General features: G+C 43.5%; 1 annotated feature.

Moving 5' to 3' along the window:
- Nucleotides 15,681-16,545: an enhancer, noted in NCBI's record as "H3K4me1 hESC enhancer chr15:100456801-100457665 (GRCh37/hg19 assembly coordinates)". NCBI's record gives its function as "activates a minimal SCP1, AML or CMV promoter by ChIP-STARR-seq in naive and primed H9 embryonic stem cells {active_cell/tissue: H9 hESC(naive and primed)}" and the evidence as "EXISTENCE:reporter gene assay evidence [ECO:0000049][PMID:30033119]".

Below are 23,628 nucleotides of genomic sequence, written 5' to 3' on the forward strand. Positions count from 1 at the left end.
AATACCACATGATCTCACTTACACGTGGAGTATAAAACAGTCCAACTTATAGAAATAAGAAATAAAATGGTGGTTACCAGAGGCTAGGAAATGGAGGGACTGAGGACGTGAGGGTCAAAGGGAGAAAACTTCAGTTAGGGGAAGCAAGCTCAAGCGCTCTATTATACACCATGCTGACGACAATCAATGCAAATGTATTGCATATTTCAAAATTGCTAAGAAAGTAGATTCTAAGTGTTGTCCCCACAACAGATAAAAATGTGATGTAAGGTATATGTTATATAGCTTGATTTAATCATTCTACAATGTATACATATATCAAAAACATCATGTTGTACAACATAAATATATATAATTTTACTTGTCAATTAAAAGAGATACTATTGGTTGTTTCTGTACATATGTATATGCATATTTATATCGTTTGGATATTTGTCCTCACTCAAATCACATGTTGAAATATAACCCCCAATATTGCAGGTGGGGCCTGGTGGGAGGTGACTGGATCGTGGAGGTGGATTTCTCATGAACAGTTTAGCACCATCCTCTTGGTGCTGGCCTCCTGATAGTGAGTGACTTCTCAGAAAATTTCGTTGTTTAAAAGTGTGTCACCTCTGTCTCTCTCTTGCTCCTGCTTTTGCCATGTGATGTGTCTTCCCCCGCTTTGCCTTCCACCATTAGTAAAAGCTCCCTGAGGCCTCTCCAAAAGCCAAGTAGATGCTGGTGCCGTGTCTCCTGTAAAGCCCGCAGAACCTGAGCTAATTAGACCTATTTTACTTATCAATTATTCAGTCTCAGGTATTTCTTTATAGCAATGCAAGAATGGCCTAATATACATATAAACATATATTTACATATTTTTTACATTTAATTGTGTTTATATGTATACTATACATAATTATTAAAATATAAAATACTTTTTCTGATGACACACATGTTACTTCAGTGTGCAACTCATTGGACTAATTTGGGAGACTAGAAACCACAGTTCCTGCAGTGAATAATTATCCTTTTATTTACATTTGCCAGTCTTTGCAAAATGTCACTCTTTTGGATTTGTGCTTAGCCTGAAATTTTGCTCAACATGGGTCATTCCATTCTTGAGATATTTTTATGTTTTATTTAATGTTTAGTTGTCACCTTTCTTCAATTTGAATTTCTTTGATTTGCCCACAGCCTTTTCCCCTTGAACATATTGTCCTTAACAAAGGTTGCACACAGCAGTTACACTTCCACTTTAAAATGTACAGTTATCCTAAGTGAGTAATAAAAGTGACAGAGGTCTCTTTCACCTCTACAATAAAGTCCTGTCATTGAAACATGGAGAAAGTTTTTAGAATATATGCTTGCTTTCTTATTTGAGAATATTCAATGCTTTTACAAAAAGAAAATAAACAGGAGTGATACAACTGATAAAGAATGTTAAGCATAGATAGTGAGAAAGCTATCTTACAATAAAGAGAGAGAGAGAGAGAAACCTTATAGGATGTGTTAAGTCTGGGTATGAATAAGCAAGTAGTTTTTGCTATGTAGGCAGAATTCAAAAGAGATGTTAGCTAGATGATGTATGATGATAATCTCTAAGAATGTTAAAGATAGAAAGAATAAATGGGTTACATGATGTAACAAATACAAGACTTTCTTCTGAAAAAAGACAATATGAAAAGGCCGAATCATAAGACATGATTCTCTCAATTCACAGCTATTTCTAAATTCACTGCCCATTGGTAGCACATGCAATAGTCCCCTGATGGCTCCACATACACTATGCCCAATAAATACAGATAAAACCCACATCTGTTCAGCAAGCTAACTGGTGATGTCATCTGCAGTCAGGAATACTTGCCTGATTATCTCAAATACAGCAAGTGTATTCTGTTGCCCCAAGCATCATCTATTGGCCCCCAACATCAGCTGGGAAGGGTGATGAAGCAGAGAGAGAGAGAGGGAGAGAGCATAAATATGGTAATGTGTTAATCTAAAATCTATAATTCAGGGAGGATGGCCCTTCAACCTGCTTGAATCCCACCTTACCTCTTTTTTCTTTCTTCTTGTTTCTTGCTATGTATTTAAAATAGATTTGATAAGTGTGTGATTGAAGAATATTAATTTTAACAGTGAGCTTTTCTCTTCTATGACCTCTGAATAACTTTCCTAGAAGTGTCCTGCGAAGCTACGATTGCATTAATTTTCCTACATGACTGTTGCAAAAAAATTCTAGTCTTCTACTTGAATTCTGTGAGATTATCACTTACTGGGATCATGTGATGTATTTTTAAGATGACTGGATAATGCCATTCATCCATGTGGTTATCAAGCCTATTACTTGAATCCATGTATTCTTCTAGGCCAAGTCACTATGCTGACAGCATTTGTGATGGTTAATTTTAGTCATCACCTTGACTGGTTTCAAGGAATATACAGATAGCTGCTAAAACATTATTTCTGGGTATGTCTGTGAGGGTGTTTCTGGAAGAGATTAGCATTTGAATCAGTAGACTGAGTGAAGAAGATCTGCCCTTACCAATCCGTGTAGGGACTAGATAGAACAAAACAACAGAGGAAAGGTGAATTTGCTGTCTCTTCTGGAGCTGGGAGCTTCTCCAGCCCTCAGACAACAGAGCTCCAGGTTCTCAGGCCTTTGGACTCAGACTGCATTACACTACAGACTTCCCTGGTTCTCCTGCTTGCAGATGGTGTATCATACGATTTCTCAGTCTCCGTAACTGGGTGAGCCAATTTCCGTAGTGTATCTCCTCATGTATCTCTATCTCTTTCCATTCTTTACACCTATTTATCTAATCCATCTGTATCACATTAGTTCTGTTTCTCTGGAGAAGCCTGATTAATATGCCATCCTATTCAATTAAAGTAGTAGGGCTCAAATTTGGTTGCTCATTGGAATTACCTCAGGAGTTCTGGAAACCAAGTTGCCTGCTTTTAGTGCTGTCTGGGGGTAACATACATAAAAGGGTTTCAATTGAGCCATGTCCCTGTTCCTCTTACCTTGACTGCCATAAGCCCAACTGCACCATTCACAGCAAAAAATAAGAATGCTTGTCCACCTCTACTACGAAAGGAGCTAGGATGAAATTGGGAGCCAGTGGTCAATCTCATGGTAAGTACATTCAGGATTTTGCACAGTTCTACAGCATTTGCAACCACCAGCATTTTCACAAATAAACCTTCATTGCGTATCTGTCCTTCCTGATTCCCAACTGCACATATGTGCAAAATCTTTTTAAAAAGTCTAAAATAATGCATGTGCCGATATCATTTTGACTAAAAAATGACATAATAAGGCCATTTCTGTATTGCCAATGTTTTTTATTTTTTTCTGCTCCTTGTTTTATTTTTCTTGTAACCAGACCAATCTCTTGCATAGTCTCTGTTTCTTATGTTATTTACTTTTTCTTCTGTAAACTTGCTCTCACATGACTTTTATTCACTGCTTTTCATAAGATTTTGTACTTTGTGACTTGCAGGATATTACTTAAATAAATAAAAGCAAAACTTATAAACTCAGGAAATCAAAGAGCTTTTAGTCCATTCCAGTTTTAATTTATCTTTGTAGGATCTGACATATGAAGCTTTACTAGCAAGGGAGGTGACTTATTGTAAACCACATGGATTTTGGAAATTGAGGTTTGAATCTTGGTTTAGTTAGTCTACAACCTTGAGAAAGTTATTTATGTATCTGCAAAACAAGGCTAATAATACCAAACTTTCAAGGTCATTGACATACATACATACATACATTCATGTCTGTGTTTATCTATCTATCTATGTCGTATTTGGAAGCAAATGGTAGCTACTAATAGCTTGCCAACTCTGGGTGAAAGCGAGATTGATGGCTGGGGAGATGGGCTGGTGAAAAGTAGGTCTTGTCAATTATTTTTTAGACATAGTTTCACGATTATTCTAAGTAAAGGGCACCAAAATCTCCAAAAGGAGAATTCGAAAGGAAGCATGGCAGGCAGGATGTGGATTTGAATATAATATACCCACATGACTTATGACTAAAGGCAGGTGACCTTTTATAGCTTTTAATATTGCAGATAAAATTACGCAGCCTAGTATCTTGCAAATTTGTTAGCTAAAATCTTAATGTGTCTGAATGATCCATTTTATTTTGAAGATTACATCACTTCAACTTTTTGAAAAAGTACTTATTGCAGGATACAAAAGAAGATTAAGATGTGGTTCTTGGCCCCATTGAATTGTAATTGCAATAGGAAAACAAGCTATGTACAGGTGAAGTAGTTTAGATAGTGCTACAAGATGGTATCTGATTTCAAGTTTATGATTGACAGATAAGTACAGATAAAGTCTTTGGAGAAAGAGATCAATGTGGGCTGGAATTGTCTGAGAAATTTTGCTAAAAGTCAGGTGACTTGAGCTGGCTTTAACATTTTGAGGTTAAGGGACGGAGGGTATTTTCTGATGTCAAATGATTTGAACTATGGTTTCCTATCACATAGGGATTCATTAAATTGTATTTCACTTGCTCTCATTTTTCTTAGAGTTGCAGGGTTATTCATTTTTAATGTCTAATTTTCAGGCTCTCACATCAAAGGGAGCTATTTAAGGAATATTCTGTGGCTTTAGTCCTGAACACCTTGCTCTATCAGAAGCGCCACATAGCCTCTCATTTGTAAAACTTGATGCATGTACAGGGCACTTATTGCAGTGTCAAGGTACAAAAATTATTTCAATTTAAACTATCTTCACACTGAGAACCAAACTTTAAGATGTTTTAATGAAGAAAAACCCATGCGACCGCCCATCCATTCCTAGGTACCATCTGCCTTCAAATGCCCTCCTCCCATTTACATATCTAATTCTTCAATGGCAGTAACAGATCACTGCACGATTTTTGCTGGAGGAAAGAAATAGTAGGAGCTTTTCATAAAGCACATTTATGTCTCTGAAGGTTTGAAGTCAAAAACTAATGTTATGAAGAGAACTGATTTTATACTTACTCTGACTGAAATTAAAATGAATATTGGTTATATCTGGAGGGATTTTGTGAAACAATGCCAGTGGAAGAATGAGAAACTGAATATACACATACACATAACACTTTTATGACTGAGATGGCATGGGGGCCACTGAAGCCGAGTAAGAAGCTGCCACACCCATCATCTTGATTGGCTTTCGTCTTAAATGCACTTGGTCTGACACAATTTCGTCAGGGAAATGCATACTCTATGTGCCAGGGAACCAAAAATTAAATCTCCTTTCTTGTAGCGGAATGCTTTCTCTTCAATCTAGCCTGAATCTGAATCTGGCTTCTAGGGCAAGACTGAAGATACACTGGAGTTAAATATTAAATATTATTTTAAAAATTTCAATGCAGACTGAAACTACCTCACTTCTGTCCTAGTCAAGAGAAACAAAACGAAATAAATACACAGCAGTACTGAGAGTAATATGGGCCCAGGGTTTACATGAGCGGCTCAGAGATTTCTGGAGGACTTCTGAAAGACAGGAAGTTAATGAGATTCTATTTATATGAGTTTCCTAGGGCTGCCATAACAAATTACTACACGCTTGGTGACTTAAAACAACTGAAATGGATTCTCGTGCAGTTCTGGAGGCTGTTATACGAATAAAAGAGAACAGAGTTGCTAGTTGTCCAAAATTTGCCCAGAAGGGAGCAGAAGAAGTAGGGAAGATGGATACTATTGTCAAGGGTAGGGCCTCAGGAGGTTTTAAGCTTCATGTGATCAAATGAGTAAAGCAAAGTTGTAATGGAACAAAAATCAGGGAAATCATTGAGGTTTTGTGGATGAATAGTTCTATGTCTTTCCAACTTCCCTTTCTCTTCCCTCCTTTTGGCCCATTCTGAGATAAAAGCAGGCAGAGTTGCCTTTACGCCTGACCTTCTTGCTAGCTACGACCAGCAAATAACACTCTCATGTAATAACCATTCTTCCTGAGTAGGATTAGTCCTTTGATTTATTATGATTCTCTGGCATTTTAGGGCAATCTTAGCTGCTCTCCTGCTCATGTCAAGGTTGTCTTGACATGCCTGTCTGCACATAGAGTTCAGAGCCAGCCTGCCCACTCAGAAGACAGACCTGCTGATGATGAAATCATTCACAACTGAAACAAAATCTTACAGAAGCTACGTGTGTCAGTCATCTAGTTCTTTCACATGAATATAAACAGAGAATCAAGGATCATCAGACACATGCAGCTCTCACTCAGGATTTAGATAAAAGTCACTTCCTTGGGAAAAAAATGATTTCTACTTTATCTGTATCGCTCTTGAGTTCAATCAGTAGAACATTCATGAGAAATCCACCCCATGATCCAATCACCTCCCACCAGGCCCTACCTCCAACATTGGGGATTATTACAATTCCACATGAGATTTGGGTGGAGACACTGATCCAAACTGTATCACCTGCATACACATTAATTCTTTTATTACTCGGAGCTAGAGCACCAGGAATGAGATTGCTAGATTGAAGGGTATATCTAGTTTTAATTTTAATAACTGTTGCCAGGTTGCTTTCCAAAAATGCCATAACAATTTATGTTTCAGCAACAATGTATTAGAGAATGCTTTCCCTGAATCTTTGCCCACAAACATATTAACACATTTCGTTTTTAATCAGTTTGATGGGTATAAAGTGTTGTGTTGTTTAATTTGCATTTTTCTAATTACCGACAAACTTCAGCACCATTTTCTGTTGGTCATTTGGATTTGAGCCTCTGTGATTTGCTGTGTTAATTGGATTAGGTTTATTTGCATATGGCAGAAAAACCAAAAACAACAGAGGCTTAAATTGGATAGAAATTTGTTTTTGTCCCTTGTAAAAGTATTCTGGAGGAAGGGAGTGCGGGATTGGTATTGTGGCTTTGCAAACTAATCAGGGACCCAGGCGTCTTCTAGGGCTGCATTTTGCTCTCCTTAGGGAATGGCTGTGGTCCTCAGCCCCACGTTCCAAGATGGCTGCTAGAGTGCCAGGCATCACACCCTCATTCCAACCAGCAGGGGAGAGGCAGGCACAAAGGAGGACACACTCCTTCCCTTTAAGGAGTCTTCCTGGACATAACACACAACACTTCTGCTTGCATATATTGAATCAGAATTTAGTCACATGGCTATACCTATCTGCAAGGGAGGCTGGGAAACATGGTCTTTCAATTAGATAAATGGCAACTCTGAGTAACATCAGGATTCTATTACTGAGAAGGATGGGGGTTGGGGGGATGGCAATTGAAGTAAGTACCTAGAAATCTCTGCTAAAACTGCCTTCCTTTTGCCAGTTTTTTTTCCATTTGGCTATTTGCCTTTTTTTTTTTTTTTTTTGTCAATACAGATGGTCCCCAATTTACCATGGTTCAATTTAAGGATGTTTTGACTTTACAATGGTGTGAAAGTGATATGCATTCGATAGAAACTGAACTTAAATTTGGAATTTTAGTGTTTTCCTGTGCTAGCCATGTGTGGTACAAGACCGTCTTGCAATGCTGGCCAGCTGCAGTGGCTACAGCTCCCAGTCGGTCACTCAAGTAGGAGGGTAAAGAACTGATACTGCGGCCGGGCGGGATGGCTCATGCCTGTAGTCCCAGCACTTTGGGAGGCCGAGGCGGGTGGATCACGACGTCAAAAGATCAAGACCATCCTGTCCAACATGGTGAAACCCCATCTCTACTAAAGAAATACAAAAATTAGCTGGGCATGGTGGCATGTGCCTGTAGTCCCAGCTACTCGGGAGGCTGAGGCAGGAGAATCATTTGAACCTGGGAGGTGGAGGTTGCAGTAAGCCGAGATTGCGCCACTGCACTCCAGCCTGGAGACAGAGCAAGACTCCATCTCAAAAAAAAAAAAAAAAAAAGAACTGATACTCCACAGTGGACTGCCTTGCCAGATGATTTTGTCCAGCTGTAGGCTAATGTCAGTGTTCCGAGCGCGTTTAAGGTAGGCTAGGCTCAGCTATGATGTTTGGTAGGTTAGGTGTATTAAATTCATTTTCAACTTAACAATCATTTCAACTTACAATGAGTTTATGTGGATGTAACCCTATCTTAAGTTGAAGAGGCTGTGTATATGTATGTATGTGTGTGTTTATGTATCATTTCTTTGGAGCTTTTTGGATTTTGGAATTGTAAACAAGAAATTGCGACCCATATTTTCACCCCTATTTTACAGAGGAGGAAACTGAGACACAGAAAAGTGAAGTAACCCGCCTGGGGTCACACAGTAGAGGTCTAAGTCAGGATTCAAAGCCAGCAGTCTGGCCCAGAGCTCCAAATCTTTGGCCTTACAATACTTTGCCACCGCAACAGCGTGATCGGTGACAGGCCCGCTGTCTGTCCTGGGACGGGTCAGCTGAGCCCCCATTCTGAGAGTGAGCCCTCTGGCTGCTTGTTGCACACTGGGCTTGGGTTGCAGGGCTGCAGGCCCCCTCGCTGGCTGGCTCCTGGAAGCGCTGTGCTCCCACAAAAAGCCAGCCAGGCCTGAGGGCTCAGGGCTCACAGGTCCATGGAAATCAGCCCCAGGTGACTCCTTCCCACCTCTGCCCATGAAATGTGCCTCCCAGGCTCCAGGTTTCCCCTGGAATACAGGCCCCTGGTGTTCCCAGTGCTGTACCTGCAGTGTCTGCTTTGCTCTGAGGCCATGGCATTATTGACTTAAAATAAGCTGCTTGGGCTTTTAAAAAACAAAGAATCTGCAGACTCTGTAGCCCTTTTCCTTTCCACCTGTGCTGGGGAGCATGGCAGTGGAGAGGGTGGGCAGGCCGCTTCCTGTTGCGTAGGTCAGGCCCCCCCCAGCCCGCCCTGCTCCACGCTCTGGCCCCTCTATCAAGAGCTATTTCTCATTTTTTCCAAGCATGAGGTTCAGGTGTCTCCATCCTCCCAGGCCCCCGGCCCCCTGCCCAGGGATGCCTTTTATGGGACCATGTCTGCCCTCAACTGGGCCGCCCTCCGAGTTCTCTCCATTTTATTCCCCTGATGCCTGAAGTGGTGTTTGTTTGTTTGTTTGGTTGTTTCTGGAGATCCGAATACACAACACTTGGGGTTGAGGTTTTTTTTTACTTTGCTGGCTGGAGTCTGCTTCTCTAAGGGTGGAGGAGGGAATGAAGAAAAGTCCTGAGCACATTGCTTTAGAAACCTAATCTAGTGTGGTCAAGTGGAAACTCAAGGGCAGTCTGTCTTGGAGGAGAGCGAGAGGGACAGGCAGACAGGTCGTGGGGCTCCCTCTTCTGGGCCTGCCGAATACAACCTGCTCCGCCCATGCCTCACTTGGTCCTTGCAACCCAGGACTCGTGCTTTTCCTCCCCCTAGTTAATTTAGTCCATTATTTTTTCATTCTCCATAGAATATTGGTTTTGTAACACTCAATACAGTTTAATATATACCATTTAGACAAAAGTTCCACCTTACGAAAGATCAGCAAAAATACATCAGCAAAGATATAACTAGTGCATTTATAAAATACATCATAACAAGGAATCCAAACGATCACACACAATAATCTTCACGTTTGACATACTGGTTACAGCCTAGGAGAGCTCGCTAAATGCCAGTGTCTTTGGCAAGTGATTCACATCTGTAAGCTGTAAACCCAAAAATATCTGAGACAGGTCTCAATCAATTTAGAAGTTTATTTTGCCAAGTTAAGGACATGCTTGGAAAAAAGGCACACAAAACCACAGGAACAATCTGTGATCCGTGACTTTTTCCAAAGATGATTTTGAGGGCTTCAGTATTTAAAGGGGAAAAGCGGGCTGGAGGGGAACGAGGGAGGGGACAGTTGCATTACTGAATCCACATGTTGCAAGAAAGAAACAGGTAGGGGAATGGTCAAAAATGTGTTCAATTTTTCTTTCTTTTTATTTTTTTTGAGATGGAGTCTCACTCTGTCGCCCAGGCTGGAGTGCACTGGCGTAATCTCGGCTCACTGCAACCTCCGCTTCCCAGGTTCAAGCGATTCTCCTGTCTCTGCCTCCTGAGTAGCTGGGATTCCAAGCGAATGCCACCATGCCCTGCCAATTTTTTGTATTTTAGTAGAGACAGGGTTTCACTGTGTTGCCCAGGCTGGTCTCGAACTCCTGAGCTCAGGCAGTCCACCCGCCTTGGCCTCCCAAAGTGCTGGGACTACAGTTGTGAGCCACCACACCCGGCAACATGTATTCATTTTGTGGTCAGTAAATTAGCACTTTACCCAAGATAAAGTGAACATAGAGTAGCTACCTGTGGAGATATCTGGCCTTTCATCTGTAGCAATCTGCTTACGAACAGAAGGAAAGGCAGTTTCTTGCACGGCCCAGCCTTCAGCTTATTTTTTTTCCTTTCGGCTTAGTGAAATGGAATCCTGAGATGTTATTTTCCTTTCACAAAGCAGTAACACTGATCAATCCTAACACCTCTGAAATGTTAGTTCTTGATCAGATAAACCCAAAATAAATCAACAAGAGTACTGAAATATGACGAGGATGAAATCCAAAGTTTTTGAAAGGGGCAATGTTTAATAATAAGAAGAATGTTGAATTGGGAGCTAGTATATTTGGGTTCTTGTCTTTTTCCTGATCTTGGGCAAGTAATCTAGGATTTACTAATCCTTTACTTTTATTTATTTTTATTTTTATTTTTTATTTTTTGAGGCGGAGTCTCGCTCTGTCACCCAGGCTGGAGTGCAGTGGTGCGATCTCAGTTCACTGTAATCTCCGCCTCCCAGGCTCAAGCAATTCTCCTGCCTCAGCCTCCCAAGTAGCTGGGATTACAGGTGTGTGCCACCGTGCCCAGCTAAGTTTTGTATTTTAGTAGAGATGGGGTTTCACCATGTTGGCCAGGCTGGTCTCGAACTCCTGACCTCAAGTGATCTACCCGTCTCAGCTTCCCTGGGATTACAGGCATGAGCCACCATGCCCAGCCTAAATCCTTCACTTTTAAAATGGGAGAGTTGGCTGGATGTTTCCCTATGGTCTTTCTAGGTTTAATTTTCCATGCTTCTAAAATCTTCCACGCTGGTTCATTTTGGTGTTGCAAAATGCAATCTCTAACAATTCTAACTTGGTAGTTGGAGTGAATCCAGCTCTGCCCACACAAATCTGCTCAAATAGTCGTCTGTCTTCTGAGCCGCGAGAGAGCTCAGTCCTCAAATTAACGAACTGTGATGACAGGCTTCATGAGGCTCACAGCTGGTTCTCCACTAGACACAAACTCAAGATAAGTAGTTTTAAAGGTCTCAAAGTCATGGTTTGAACTTCCTCACAGCTGGGGCAAAAAGGGACACACCCTAAGTTTCTCAATTCTCACTATGTACCACCTCACAAATTCCATCCCCAGCCTCTTTCCTTACCCCTCACTAAGGTTCTCAAGGCTTCAATAAGCACCTACTGTATGCCAGGCTCAGGGCAAGGAAGAGATAGCCCTGTCCTCAGAGGGCTCTCAGTGGAGGGGACAGTTTTCTAAACCCTTGTGGATATTCCAATTCCTGGGGCATGAATTAGTTGAGGGAGCTGCCCCAGCATCCTACAAAATGGAATAGGATGGGGTAGAAAACAGCAAAGGTCAACATCATATGTGGCGAGGGCGGGCCTTTCTGCCTTTCTTCCTTTCTTCCTTCTTCCTTCCTTCCTTCCTTCCTTCCTTCCTTCCTTCCTTCCTTCTTCTTTCTTTTCTTTCTTTTCTTCAGATGGAGTTTCGCTGTTACTGCCCAGGCTAGAGTGCAATGGCGCGATCTCCGCTCACTGCAACCTCTGCCTCCCAGGTTCAAGCAATTCTCTTGCCTCAGCTTCCTGAGTAGCTGGGATTACAGGTGCCAGCCACCATGTCTGGCTACTTTTTTGCATTTTTAGTAGAGATGGGGTTTTGCCATGTTGGCCAGGCTGGTCTCAAACTCCTGATCTCAAGAGATCCACCCTCCTTAGTCTCCCAAAGTGCTGGGATTACAGGTGGGAGCCACTGCACCCAGCCGGCGTGGTTTCTTTAAAGATGATTCTACTCGTTGGTGTGGACATGAGTCCTGGGACATGAGTTCAGAGCAAAATTGAAAGCTTAACCCAGAGAGTTAAAGAGTTAAAGCTTAACCAGAGAGTTAAGTTTAACTCTCATAGTTTAAAAACAATTTTATTAACATATTATATGTCAATTTTGTGAGACCTCATGTCCTTTTTGAAAAAAAAAATAAAAAATAAAGAAAAGAAATGCATGTGGCTGCTGTTGCTGGGGGAGGTTGTGGCTCTGTGTCCTCCAGGGAAGGGGACCCAGCACAGAGCACTGAGGTGCAGGCTGGACAGGCCAGGACTGCACGGCACGCAGCCTGCTATGTCAGCTGGCCCCAGATGAGCCCCATGCATTACAGACACTTAGGAAGCAAAGCCTTCCACCAGGACGCTGGACAACTCAAGACACACAGACTATGCCTAAGGCCGACAGCTGTGGGAGGAGGCCTGGCCTGGAAGAGTAGGCTGTTACTTGTCCCTCCTTTGTGATGGGAGCTGACACTGACAGAGGAAGCCATGGCACCTTTTCCAGCTAGCAGGAGGGTGGCCCCATTTCAGGCCTGTTGTTCTTTTTTTTGAGGTGGAGTCTTGCTTTGTTGCCCAGGCTGGAGTGCAGTGGCATGATCCTTGGCTCACTGCAACCTCTGCCTCCTGGGTTCAAGTGATTCTCCTGCCTCAGCCTTCCGAGTAGCTGGGATTACAGGCACCCGCCACCAGGCCCAGCTAATTTTTGTATTTTTAGTAGGACAGGATTTCGCCATGTTGGCCAGGCTGGTCTCGAACTCGTGACTTCAGGTGATCCGCCTGCCTCAGCCTCCCAAAGTGCTGGGATGACAGGCATAAGCCGCCGCGCCTGGCCCTGAGCTGTTGTTCTTGGCATTCTGAACGCTCCATTTGTCATCTGCACAAAGCCCAAGTCAAAAATGTCAGGTATCATTACGGATGGCACCTAGACTAGGCAGATACTCCCTTTTAGTGTCCCTTCCAGAGGCCTGTGCTGTCCATCCGTCATGGCCTCAGCCACTACACCGTCTACAGTCACTTCCAGTACAACCCTCTGCTTTCCACTCTACATCTCCAGGGCTCAGCCTGGTGCCTCAAACATAAACACATGGAAAGTTTGTTGACCCACAACCGACTGACTGTCCAAGTGACTGAAAACAGAGTTTCAGAGCTTCCTGTTGCTTCAAGAAATTCCTACCAGGAAAAGCAGGCTTTAACACAGAATCCTCCCCTGTATGCAGTTGCCTTTTCAATTTTTTTTTTTTTTTTTTTGAGATGGAGTCTCGCTCTCTCACCCAGGCTGGAGTGCAGTGGCATGATCTCGTTTCACTGCAACCTCCACCTCCCGAGTTCGAGAAATTCTCCTGCCTCAGCCTCCCAAGTAGCTGGGATTACAGGTGCTCCCAGCTAATTTTTGTATTTTTAGTAAAGACGGGGTTTCACCATGTTGGCCAGGCTGGTCTTGAACTCCTGACCTTGTGATCCACCCGCCTCGACCTCCCAAAGTGCTGGGATTACAGGTGTGTGCCACCGTGCCTAGCTGCCTTCTCTATTCAGTCGTCTCAATTGCAGGGCCCTTCCCTGCTCCCCAGGTGGGCTGGGTTAAGAAGCCAGGACAGAGTCTTCAGTGAGCCCTGAAGTGGGTTCTTTGCTCCCAGGTCTGGGTTCTTCTATAGTGAATTCTCCTGGCTGTCAGCTCCACCTTCCTCCCTGAGAGGTACTCGGACAACCTTCTTTTCCTCTTGCCCTGGGAGAATATTTGCTTCATTTTTTTCCCCCCTGGAGACCTGAATTTATTCTTTAATGGAAATTTAAGCACTTTGAATTTCATCTGGCTTCTGCTTTATTATCTTAGGGTTAAATGCTAATTTCTGTTTTTAAGAAAAGCCTTTCGGTTTTTTTAAAGTCTTGAATCCAGTCCCAGTGCAATCCAAAAAGATGGGTTTATTACATCAGGATCACAGACAGACGAGACTTTTGCCTTAGAAGGAAGCTAAATAGCATCTGGTTCACCCTCTGCATTTTGTTAATTTTAAAAAATCTCAGTTCCTCTTATTTCCCATGCCCAGCATTCAGAACTGGATCCAAGTTTTGGGGACATGAAGCTTATTATACAATTTTGGGGATAGGTGTTGTCCTCTTGATGAGAAAGAGACAAAGTTACAGACAGAATTCAATGCAGGGCCTTGGACAGGGCGGCTCAGGTGAGGGACTGCAAGCTTAGGCTTTGTTGCCTTCACAGTAAACCCGCCTCTGCAACAAGCATGTTCTGTGGATGCCTTGGGTGCTTCCTGTACATTCCTGTGTCATTTTACCTTCAACACCCGAACAAGAAATATTTCCTGCGTAGGTACTTTACACATATTACCTTGTTATCTCCAGGTAGTGCTGCGTCCATTTTATCATGTCTGTACATAAGGTAGGTACTTCATTCCCCAACAGGGGAAAAAAAGAGCTTACTGTTCCCAGTAATTCCAGGAAAAGGCATGGGAAGGGCTTCCATTGTCTGCCTTGGGTGATGTCGAGCTGCCTTAAGCTGACGGCTTGACAGTGGGGGTGAAGGGCGGTGACTCCCCCAGGGAATAGCAGGACATTGGAATCAAAGTGGGTGGCTGCTGGCTGCAGAAACAGAGGCCTGTGGTCCCCAGGGTTCCAGGCCAGTATGCACTCCATGTGCCCTGAGGGTTGGATCATTAAAGTTGGTGAAAGGCATTTGGCTAGGCCAGGGGCGGTGGTTCACGCCTGTAATCCCAGCACTTTGGGAGGCCCAGGCGGGTGGATCACCTGAGGTCAGGAGTTCAAGACCAGCCTGGCCAACCTGGTGAAACCCTGTCTCTACTAAAAATACAAAAATTAGCTGGGTGTAGTGGTGCACGCTTGTAGTCCCAGCTACTTGGGAGGCTGGGGTGGGAGAATCACTTGAACCTGGGAGGCAGAGGTCGCAGTGAGCCAAGATCGTGTCATTGCACTCCTGTCTGGGCGACAAGAGGGAAGCTCCCTCTCAAAAGAAAAAAAAAAAGGAAGGCATTTGGCTGAGTCTTTGCTAGAATGTGGGAGGGCAGGGCAGGGGCAGGGCTAAGACAATAATTTCAAGATAACTTCACTTGAGGTGGGGTGGAAAGTGCACTGAATTCATCCAACAGCCTTAGTTGTACTTTCAAGGTCGGCATCATCCTCCCCGGCAGGCAGGTGAAGAGAGGCTCCGTGGCTTGTCCTGGCCCAGCCCTTCCGTGACAGTGCCTTTGGCCTCATGGACTGAGGTTTCAGGAAGTTTGCGACAGTGTCTGCGGGTCTGGACACTCATGTGACATGTGGAGGACGTCCTGCAACATGCTGTGGAAACACCCTCATTTGTCTCCAGCGCTGGGGATTGCCCAGGGAAGAGCCGCCTGTTGTCCATTCCCCAGGCCTTGTAATACTTTCTCTAACTGTGCTTGGGGGTCCTGGAATTTGTGTGAGAAAATCCATGGGTCCACATCTGGGCTGTCCGGGTAGAGGGGCCATCCGTACCCCTCCCTCACTGTGATGGGTGGCACTGCATCCTCTGAGGACTCGTATGTTGAAGCCCCGTCCCCTGTACCGCAGAACTGGTCCCATTTAGGTTGTTGCAGATGTAACGAGTTAAGACGAGGCCATACTGGAGTAGGGTGGGTCCCTAATGCGGTGCAACTGGTGTCCTTATAAAAAGGGGAAATTCGGACCCAGAGACAGGCTCGCACGTAGGGAGAACACCAAGTGAAGATGAGGGCAGGGATGGGGCGAGACCTACAGGCCAAGGAACACAGAAGATTGTGACAACCACCAGAAGTTAGACAAGAGGCCTGGAGCAGTCCCCAGTCAGGGCCCCCAGGAGGAACCAACCCTGCCTCACCTTGATCTCAGACTTCTCGACTCCAGAGCTGTGACAAGATAAATGTCTGCTGTTGAAGCCGCACAGTTTGTGGTACTTCATGGCAATCCCAGGAGATTAATATATGCACATCACGCAGCCCAGGACCCCAGCAGGCCTGCAGGCTCTGGCAGCGGCTGTTGGAAGTGGCCCGTGGTCTGCCCGGGGGAGACACTGACAAGGCCTCCCAGGCTGCCGTTAGCCTCCTCCGGTCTGCCCTGGCTGACTTTTCCCCCTTTCTCTTTTCCCAAAACAAACCCCAGCCCTCTTGGGACTCATTCATTTCTGTTTACCAGAAACTTAGCATGTAACTGTCTCAGAGCTGTTAAAAGTGCCGCCTCTTCACTGCAGGGTCCTTGCCTCAAGTTAATTAGCCTGAGGAAATTTCCAGACGCTCCCTTTCCAAAAGGCTGTTTGGAAAAAGCCCTCCCTGGGTGACCTCTGGCAGTGTGAGGGGCTGAGGGCTACCCTCCTCCCTGGGAGCAGACAGCTCTGCCACTTCCCCATGTGCATCCTCCAGTCAGTGACTGGACATCTCCAGGCCTCAGTTTCCCCGCCTGTGCAGCGGAGGGCTGTTAGGAGGATTAACTAGAACACTGCGGTGCTTGGTGTGTAGAGAGTCCTCTCCATGTGTTGGTTACTAGACCCTTTGTTCATGTTGTTTCCATAGAGAATAAAACAAAACAGGAACACTTGCTTGGGGGAGGGAGGGTGCAGGAAAGGTTGTCCAGTTGCAAGCGTGAGAGAGATTTATGTGTGTCATTTTGAGCCTCTGAAATGGCAGATCCCTCCCGGGAGGGACAGTCCCTGAGCCAGCATCCCCAGCACCCCCAAGGAGTTAGAAAGGCCAAACCTGGAGTGCCGCCCAGGAACACTGCAACAGAAAATGCATTTTAACACCCAGAGATTGGGGGTGCCCCATTACAGAGGCACTGCTTTACTGCTGGGGCCACCACCCATGCAAACCCTTTGCCTCGGAAAGACCAGCCCAGATGCCTCCCTCCAACAGAGCCAGCGTCCCTGGCTGCCCTCTGGTTCTTTCCCAGGGGCACTCCTTGCATTGCTGTGACACTGCCGTCACTTGCACCCCCATTCATTGCTCTTTGCAGACACTTCCCTCCCCCAGCAATGTGACTGAGGAAAGAAGGAGGGTTCCATGGTGAATATGAGGGATGTGGGCATGGCATATCTGGGAAGGAAAGGGGGACCCCCGACACCCCGTCCCAGTTCTCCAAAGCCCTCGGAGCCTGCAGAAGAGCTCTGCACGAAGGAATAGGATTGGCAGAGGGACAGAGCCTCTCTGTCAGGCAGAAGTCAAGTTGAGTGATGGGCACCCACCTGGACAGCTGAGACAGGGTCTCAATGTCTGACCAGGCTGAAGGGGAACTTGGGAGGGCTGGTTCTTAGCAATGGAAAGGTTGGCGTGACACTGAACTCTGCCTCTCGAAAGCCCGACCCCACCTATGGGAGACGGCAGCGGTAGAGGTCACCAGCATTGCTTAGAAGCAGCCCCCTGCAGACGTCTCCCCTACCCCCACCCTGGGCACCAGAAGGGGAAGCCCGCAAGAAAGGGCAAGGCCAGCGCAGGATCAAAGCTCAGCCTCCTCTCCAGCTCCAAGACTGTGGCTCTGGCTGGCATGGGAAGGGGAGATGAGTTTCAAATGGAGCTTGAGAGTGAAGATTTAACCAGTGAACGGGATGGAATCCTAACTCCTACAAGCAGTAACCAAAAGAAGTCGAAAGCTTATGGCTCCCTAATAAGGACTTAGGGAGCTGCTGCCCAGTGGGAAAGGGGGGTTCTGCAGTTAAGAGGTAGATGCTGGAGGAAACCAAACCATATTGTGTATAAACCGCAGGGGAGAGACTCCTCAACCATATGGCTCTGCTGACCCGTGGTGAGGATGGAATGGATGAGGATGCAGGCCCTGTAACTGGATCAGTAAAAGGCCCCACCACTTGGAGCAATGAACCTTCTGTTGAGCTCCTTCACCCCCTGTTCTTCCTGCTCAATCAATTCGTAGGCCTCCATATAGTCCTTTCTTTCAGCCTGAAGAAAGGTGTCCATTACCACCCCCAGTGCCCCTTGCATTAGTCAGGTCTTTCAGTGAAACAGAACCAATAGGAGATTCATATAATAAATAATTGGCTCCTGTGACTGTGGAGGCTGACAAGTCCCAAGATCTGCAGTTGGCCAGCTGGAGACCCAGGAGAGCCGGTGACGCGGTTCCAGTCTGAAGCCAGCAGACCCAAGACCCAGGAACAGCTAATGCTTAAGTTTGAGTCCAAAGGTTGGGGGGCTTGGAGAGGGTGACAAATGTCCCAGCTTGAAGGCAGTCAGGCAGGAGGCGTTCCCTCTTACTCATGGGAGATCAGCCTTTATGTTCTATTCAGACCTTCAGCTGATTGGCCACTTTCGCCCTCTCCTTGTGGTCCTGTCAAACTCCTGGGAAGGTGGGGAACACTTGCCCTCCTACTTCCTTGCCTGCCTCAGCTCCTCGGCCCACTCCACTTGAGCTTCTGCCTCCTGCACTGTCATTGGGTGAGTGGCTGATGGCTCACTGACTGCCAAGTCCAGTGGACATGGGCAGCCACACCTTACTTGACCTCTTTGGGACTCTCAGCCCTGCTGGCCTTGTCCCATCTTCGGTCCCTCCCAAGGGCTTCTGAGGTGCCACCGTGCACTGCTGGTGTTTTCACAGCACTGACTGCCACTTTCTGGCTGGCCCCTTCATCTTGTTTGCTGACTCCTGGTCTTGTGTTTCAGCCTCTAACCCTGGTGTTACCAGAGATGTTGTAGGTTCTCTTTCATCCTTGACCTTTTCCGTGGGGTGGGTCACATCCTTTCTGCCCACTCACCAATGGCCCTCAAACCTGCCCCACATCCTTGACTTCTGCCTGTGTTCCCAACCTGTCTCTCCCACTGTTTCTGGACATTTCTGTCCACATGCCTCAAGACACATTGACACACAACCTTCCCCAAACAGAACCCTTTATCTTCCCACTCACACTCCCTTGATATAGCCTATGGCCCCAACACCAGCCCCACACCGTCCTATACTCCTCCCTCTCCTCATGGTCAATGGCCCACAGACGCTTCCAAGTGGACCTCTTAATCCCCATCACATCCATTCCTTCTTCCTCATCCTTAACAACACATCAAGCTGTCCAGCACCACTTCTTGTTTCCTTTCTAGCCTCCCTTTCTCCCATTTTCTCACATTGCTGGAATGATCTTGCTAAAATACAGTTTAGTTGTATCTGCCCCCACCCCCAGCTCTGGGGGCTATTACACAGAGCTGCTTATCATTTGCTGTAATTGTCATGCCCTTTCACATATCTATGGCTTAGCTCATATCATTCCCCTAGCCCAGAATTATTCTTTACCCTTTCTGCCTTATCACAAACTGCCTGGAAATAATAAAGCTTAGAGCAGGGTGAAAAATATAGAGAACAGAAGAATGATAGAGAAAATTAATGAAACCAAAGTTGGTTCTTTGAAATGATAAAAAAAATTTGACAAACCTTTAACTAGACTGCCAAAGGAAAAGAAAGATTCAAATTACTAAAATCAAGAACGAAAGAGACAATTCCATCTGCATATTTTTCAAATATAGACAAGTTGATCTTATAATTCATATGGGATTAAAGGAGCCCAGAATAGCCCAAACAATCCTGGAAACAAGGTTGGAGGATGCACAGTTCTCTAATTCAAAACTTACTACAAAGCAACAGTAATCAAAATTGGCACGAGAATAACCATATATATCAGTGGACTAGAACTGACAGTCAAAAAAAGTCCTCACATTGAAGGTGTCAATGGATTTTTTACAAGAATTCTAAGACCATTAAACAGATGAAAGAATAGTCTTTTTTTTACAAATTATAAATGTTCATCTCTAACACATACCACATACTAAAAATTAACTCAAAGATCTCAATATAAAAGTTAAAATTATAAAAATCAGAAGAAAACATAGGTTTGAAAATTTGTAATCTTGGATTAGGCAACAGCTTTGTGGATATGACACCAAAAGCACAAGCAATCAAAGAAAAAACAGATAAGCTGAACTTCATCAAAATTAAAAAAATTGTGCATCAAATAACACTATCAAAGTCAAAAGACAGACCACATACTGGAAGAAAATATTGCAAGTCATATATCTGATAAGTGTCTAGTTTCTAGAACATATAAAGAATTCAAAGAATTCATACAACTTAATAATAAAAAGACAACTCCAATTAAAAATGGAGAAAGAAATGGAATAGGCATTTCTACAAAGAAGACATAGAAATTACCAATAAGCACATGAAAATATATTCAGTATCACTAGTCATTAGGGAACTGCAAATCAAAACTACAGTGAGGTACCACTTCACACTCACTAGTATGGCTATAATAAAAAATAATAACAAGTATCAACAAGGATGTGAAGAAATTGGAACCCTTATACATTTGTGGGTGGGAATGGAAAATTGTGCAGCAGCTGTGGAAAACAGCCTGGCAGTTCCTCAAAAAGTTAGATGTCCGGTTACCGTATGATCCAGCAATTCCACTACTAGGCATACATCCAAGAGAACTGAAAACATATGTTCACACAAAAATGTGTACGTGAATCTTCATGGTGGCATTCTTCGCAATAGCCAAAACAGAAACAACCCAAATGTCCTTTGACTGATGAATATATTAACAAAATGTGATAAATCCATACAATGGAATATTATTTAGCCTTAAAAAGATGTGAAGTATTGATACATGCTAAAACATGGATGAACCGTGAAAGTGTTAAAGAAATGTCAGTGAAGGAAGAAGCCAGATGTAAAAGACCACATATCGTATGGTTTCATTTATTTGGAATATCCAGAATAGGCAAACCTATAGAGGCAGCAAGTAGATTAGCGGTTGGCAGGAGCTGGGAGGAGTGCAGAAATGGAAGTGACACCTAATGGGTAGAAGGGATTTTGGGAGGCGATGAAAATGTCCTGGAATTAGATCATGGTGATGATTGCACAACTTGGTGAATATGTTAAAAATCACAGAAATGCGTCCGTTAAGATGGTGCATTTTATGCTACATAGATTGTATCTCAAGAAAACCTGGAATCTAATCTGGGATCACACATTGCACTCATTCTTCATGTCTCTTTAATCTCATTTAGAACACCGCACCTCCTTTCCTGCTCCCTCTTTTCATGATATTGGCATGTTTGAAAAGTCTAGGCCGGTCATTTTGTAGAATGTCCTGCAGTCTAGATTTGGCTTGTTTCCTTATGACTAGATTCAGGCTAAACAACTTTTTGGGGAGAAATTAATTTTCTTAATGTTTGTTGTTGGTGTGAAGAAACGCAAATGATTTTTCATAGTAACCTTTAGCCAGTAACCTTGATAAATTATTTCATGAGCTTTGATGTTTTACCTGTTTTCTTTTAATTTTTTATGCATGCAATCATGTTATCTGTAAATAATGACAGTTTACTTTTTCCTTTCTAATCTTCACCCTTTAGTTGCCTTTCCTTGCCTCACTGCACTGAACAGACGGTTATCTCCCAAACCTCCTAACGTTCATCTCGGGCAACCATTAGTCTATTTTCCAGCTCTGTAACTTCATTATTCCAAGAATAATGGAATCATATAGTGTGTAACCTTTTGAGATTGGCTTTAAAAAAAAAATACTTCCCTTGAAGTCTATTCAAGTTGTGTGTCAATGTCGACATGATTTTTAGAACCAGACTGCACAGATCTATTAGAGAACTGATATTTTTAAATATTGAATATTCCAGTCTATTGCATAGTACATTGCTTACTTTATTTATATCTTTAAATTTTTTCTCTAAATGTTCATCTTTTTATTCTTTTTTAAAAAAGGTGGTACATAATTTTAATTGTATTCCCCTTTTCCTATGCTTTGGAAGATTTTGTGTAGAAGCAGTGTTCTTTCTTTCTTAAATGTTTGTAAGCATTCACTTGCAAAATTGTCTGCACCTGGTTTTCTTTGTGAGCAGATTTTTAATTACAATATCTTTTTTAATTTTTTTTGATGGTAATGTGTTTCTCAATGCTGTTTGTCTTTCAGCCTCTATTTCTCCTTCACTTTTTGAAGGATATTTTCACTGGGTATAGACTTCCAGTCTGGCAAGATGGCATCAAGATGCTGTTCCTTTGTTTCCTGGAGTCCATTGTTTCTATTTTAAAATCAGTCATCAGTCTTAGTGTTGCTCCTTTGAAGATAATTTTCTTTTTTTTTTTCCAAATGCTTTCAGATTTTTCTCTGTTTTTGCTTTTCATCAGTTTGCTATAATGTCCCTAGATATGGTGTTGCTTCTCTCCTTCTTGGGAATTATAGTGTTGCTTGTATCTGTGGTATCCCATCTTTTATTCATTTTTGAAAATTCTCTTCTTTTCAAATAGTACTTCTCCACTCTGTCTTCTCCTTTCCTCTGTGACTCCTCATAACAAATATGCTAGATATTTTTACCATACTCTAGACGCCTCTTATATTCCTTCTGTATTTTCCAACATTTTGTCTTTCTGTGCCTCAGCATGTATTTTTTTTCTGATTCCATCTCCCAATTCACTTTTTCTTCAGTTGAATTCAAACTCCTGTTAAACCAATCTATTGATTTCCTAATTTCAGTTTGTTCTAAAGTTTTAAGATTTAGGATTTCTATTTTGAATGCTTTCTCATTCTCTGACAAAATACTTCTGTATTTCTTAAACCAATTAATTATAGCTGTATGAGGTTTGTTTCTGATAATTTCAAATCCTGGATGCTCCAAGGATATGTCCCTACTGTTCATTGATTATCTTGAGTTTTGTTAATATCTTAACCTCTACTATTCCTGGCTTTTTAAAAATTAAATGCCGGGCATTATATGTAAACATTTAAGAGGTAATTTGAGGTTCTGGATAATTGTATCTACATTTTAAGAGGATTACTTTTTCTCTAGGCAATGAGACTAGAAGCCCCAGTTACCCCAGGTCATCTTAATATCATCAGGGACTGACATAATTTTGCGGTTGGTCTTCAGTTCCTTTGAGGGCTGATCCCTTTTTAGTATCCCCAGGTCAAAATGATTTCAAATTCTGAGCTAACTTTTCTGGAATTCCGTCTCTTTTCCATAATTTCTCACTCACTTGTTTGCTTGCCAATGATGTCAAGATTTTCTGTTGTTCTTGAGGGAGAGCTGTTCTGATTCACTCAGTCTACCATTACCAAGCATGGAACCTATTTCATGACAGTTTGTTTCTTCATGTGTTTTGTGACTTTTGATTATAAAATCATGTTCCTAGTCACTATCTTTGAGAAATCGTTAAGGCCTCAGCTTAAACCTTTTGGAGAGAACTTATATTTGCTTATGCTAGATGCCAGGAAGCACAGTCAACTTCAGATCACTTTAAACTAAAATTTCTGGCTGAGAGCAGTGGCTCATGCCTGTAATCTCAGCACTTCGGGAGGCTGAGGCAGGTGGATCACCTGAAGTCAGGAGTTTGAGATTAGCCTGGCTAACATGGTGAAACCCCATCTCTACTAAAAATACAAAACTTAGCCGGGCATGTTGGTGGGTGGCAGTAATTCCAGCTACTTGGGAGACTGAGGCAGGAGAATTGCTTGAACCTGGGAGGTGGAGGTTGCAGTGAGCCAATGCGCTCTAGCCTGGGTGACAGAGCGAGACTCCGTCTCAGAAAACAAACAAACCCAGGCCGGGCACGGTGGCTTACACCTATAATCCCAGCACTTTGGGAGGCTGAGGCGGGGAGATCACGAGGTCAGGAG

Source organism: Homo sapiens, chromosome 15, assembly GCF_000001405.40.
Source record: "Homo sapiens chromosome 15, GRCh38.p14 Primary Assembly".
NCBI lineage: Eukaryota > Metazoa > Chordata > Mammalia > Primates > Hominidae > Homo > Homo sapiens.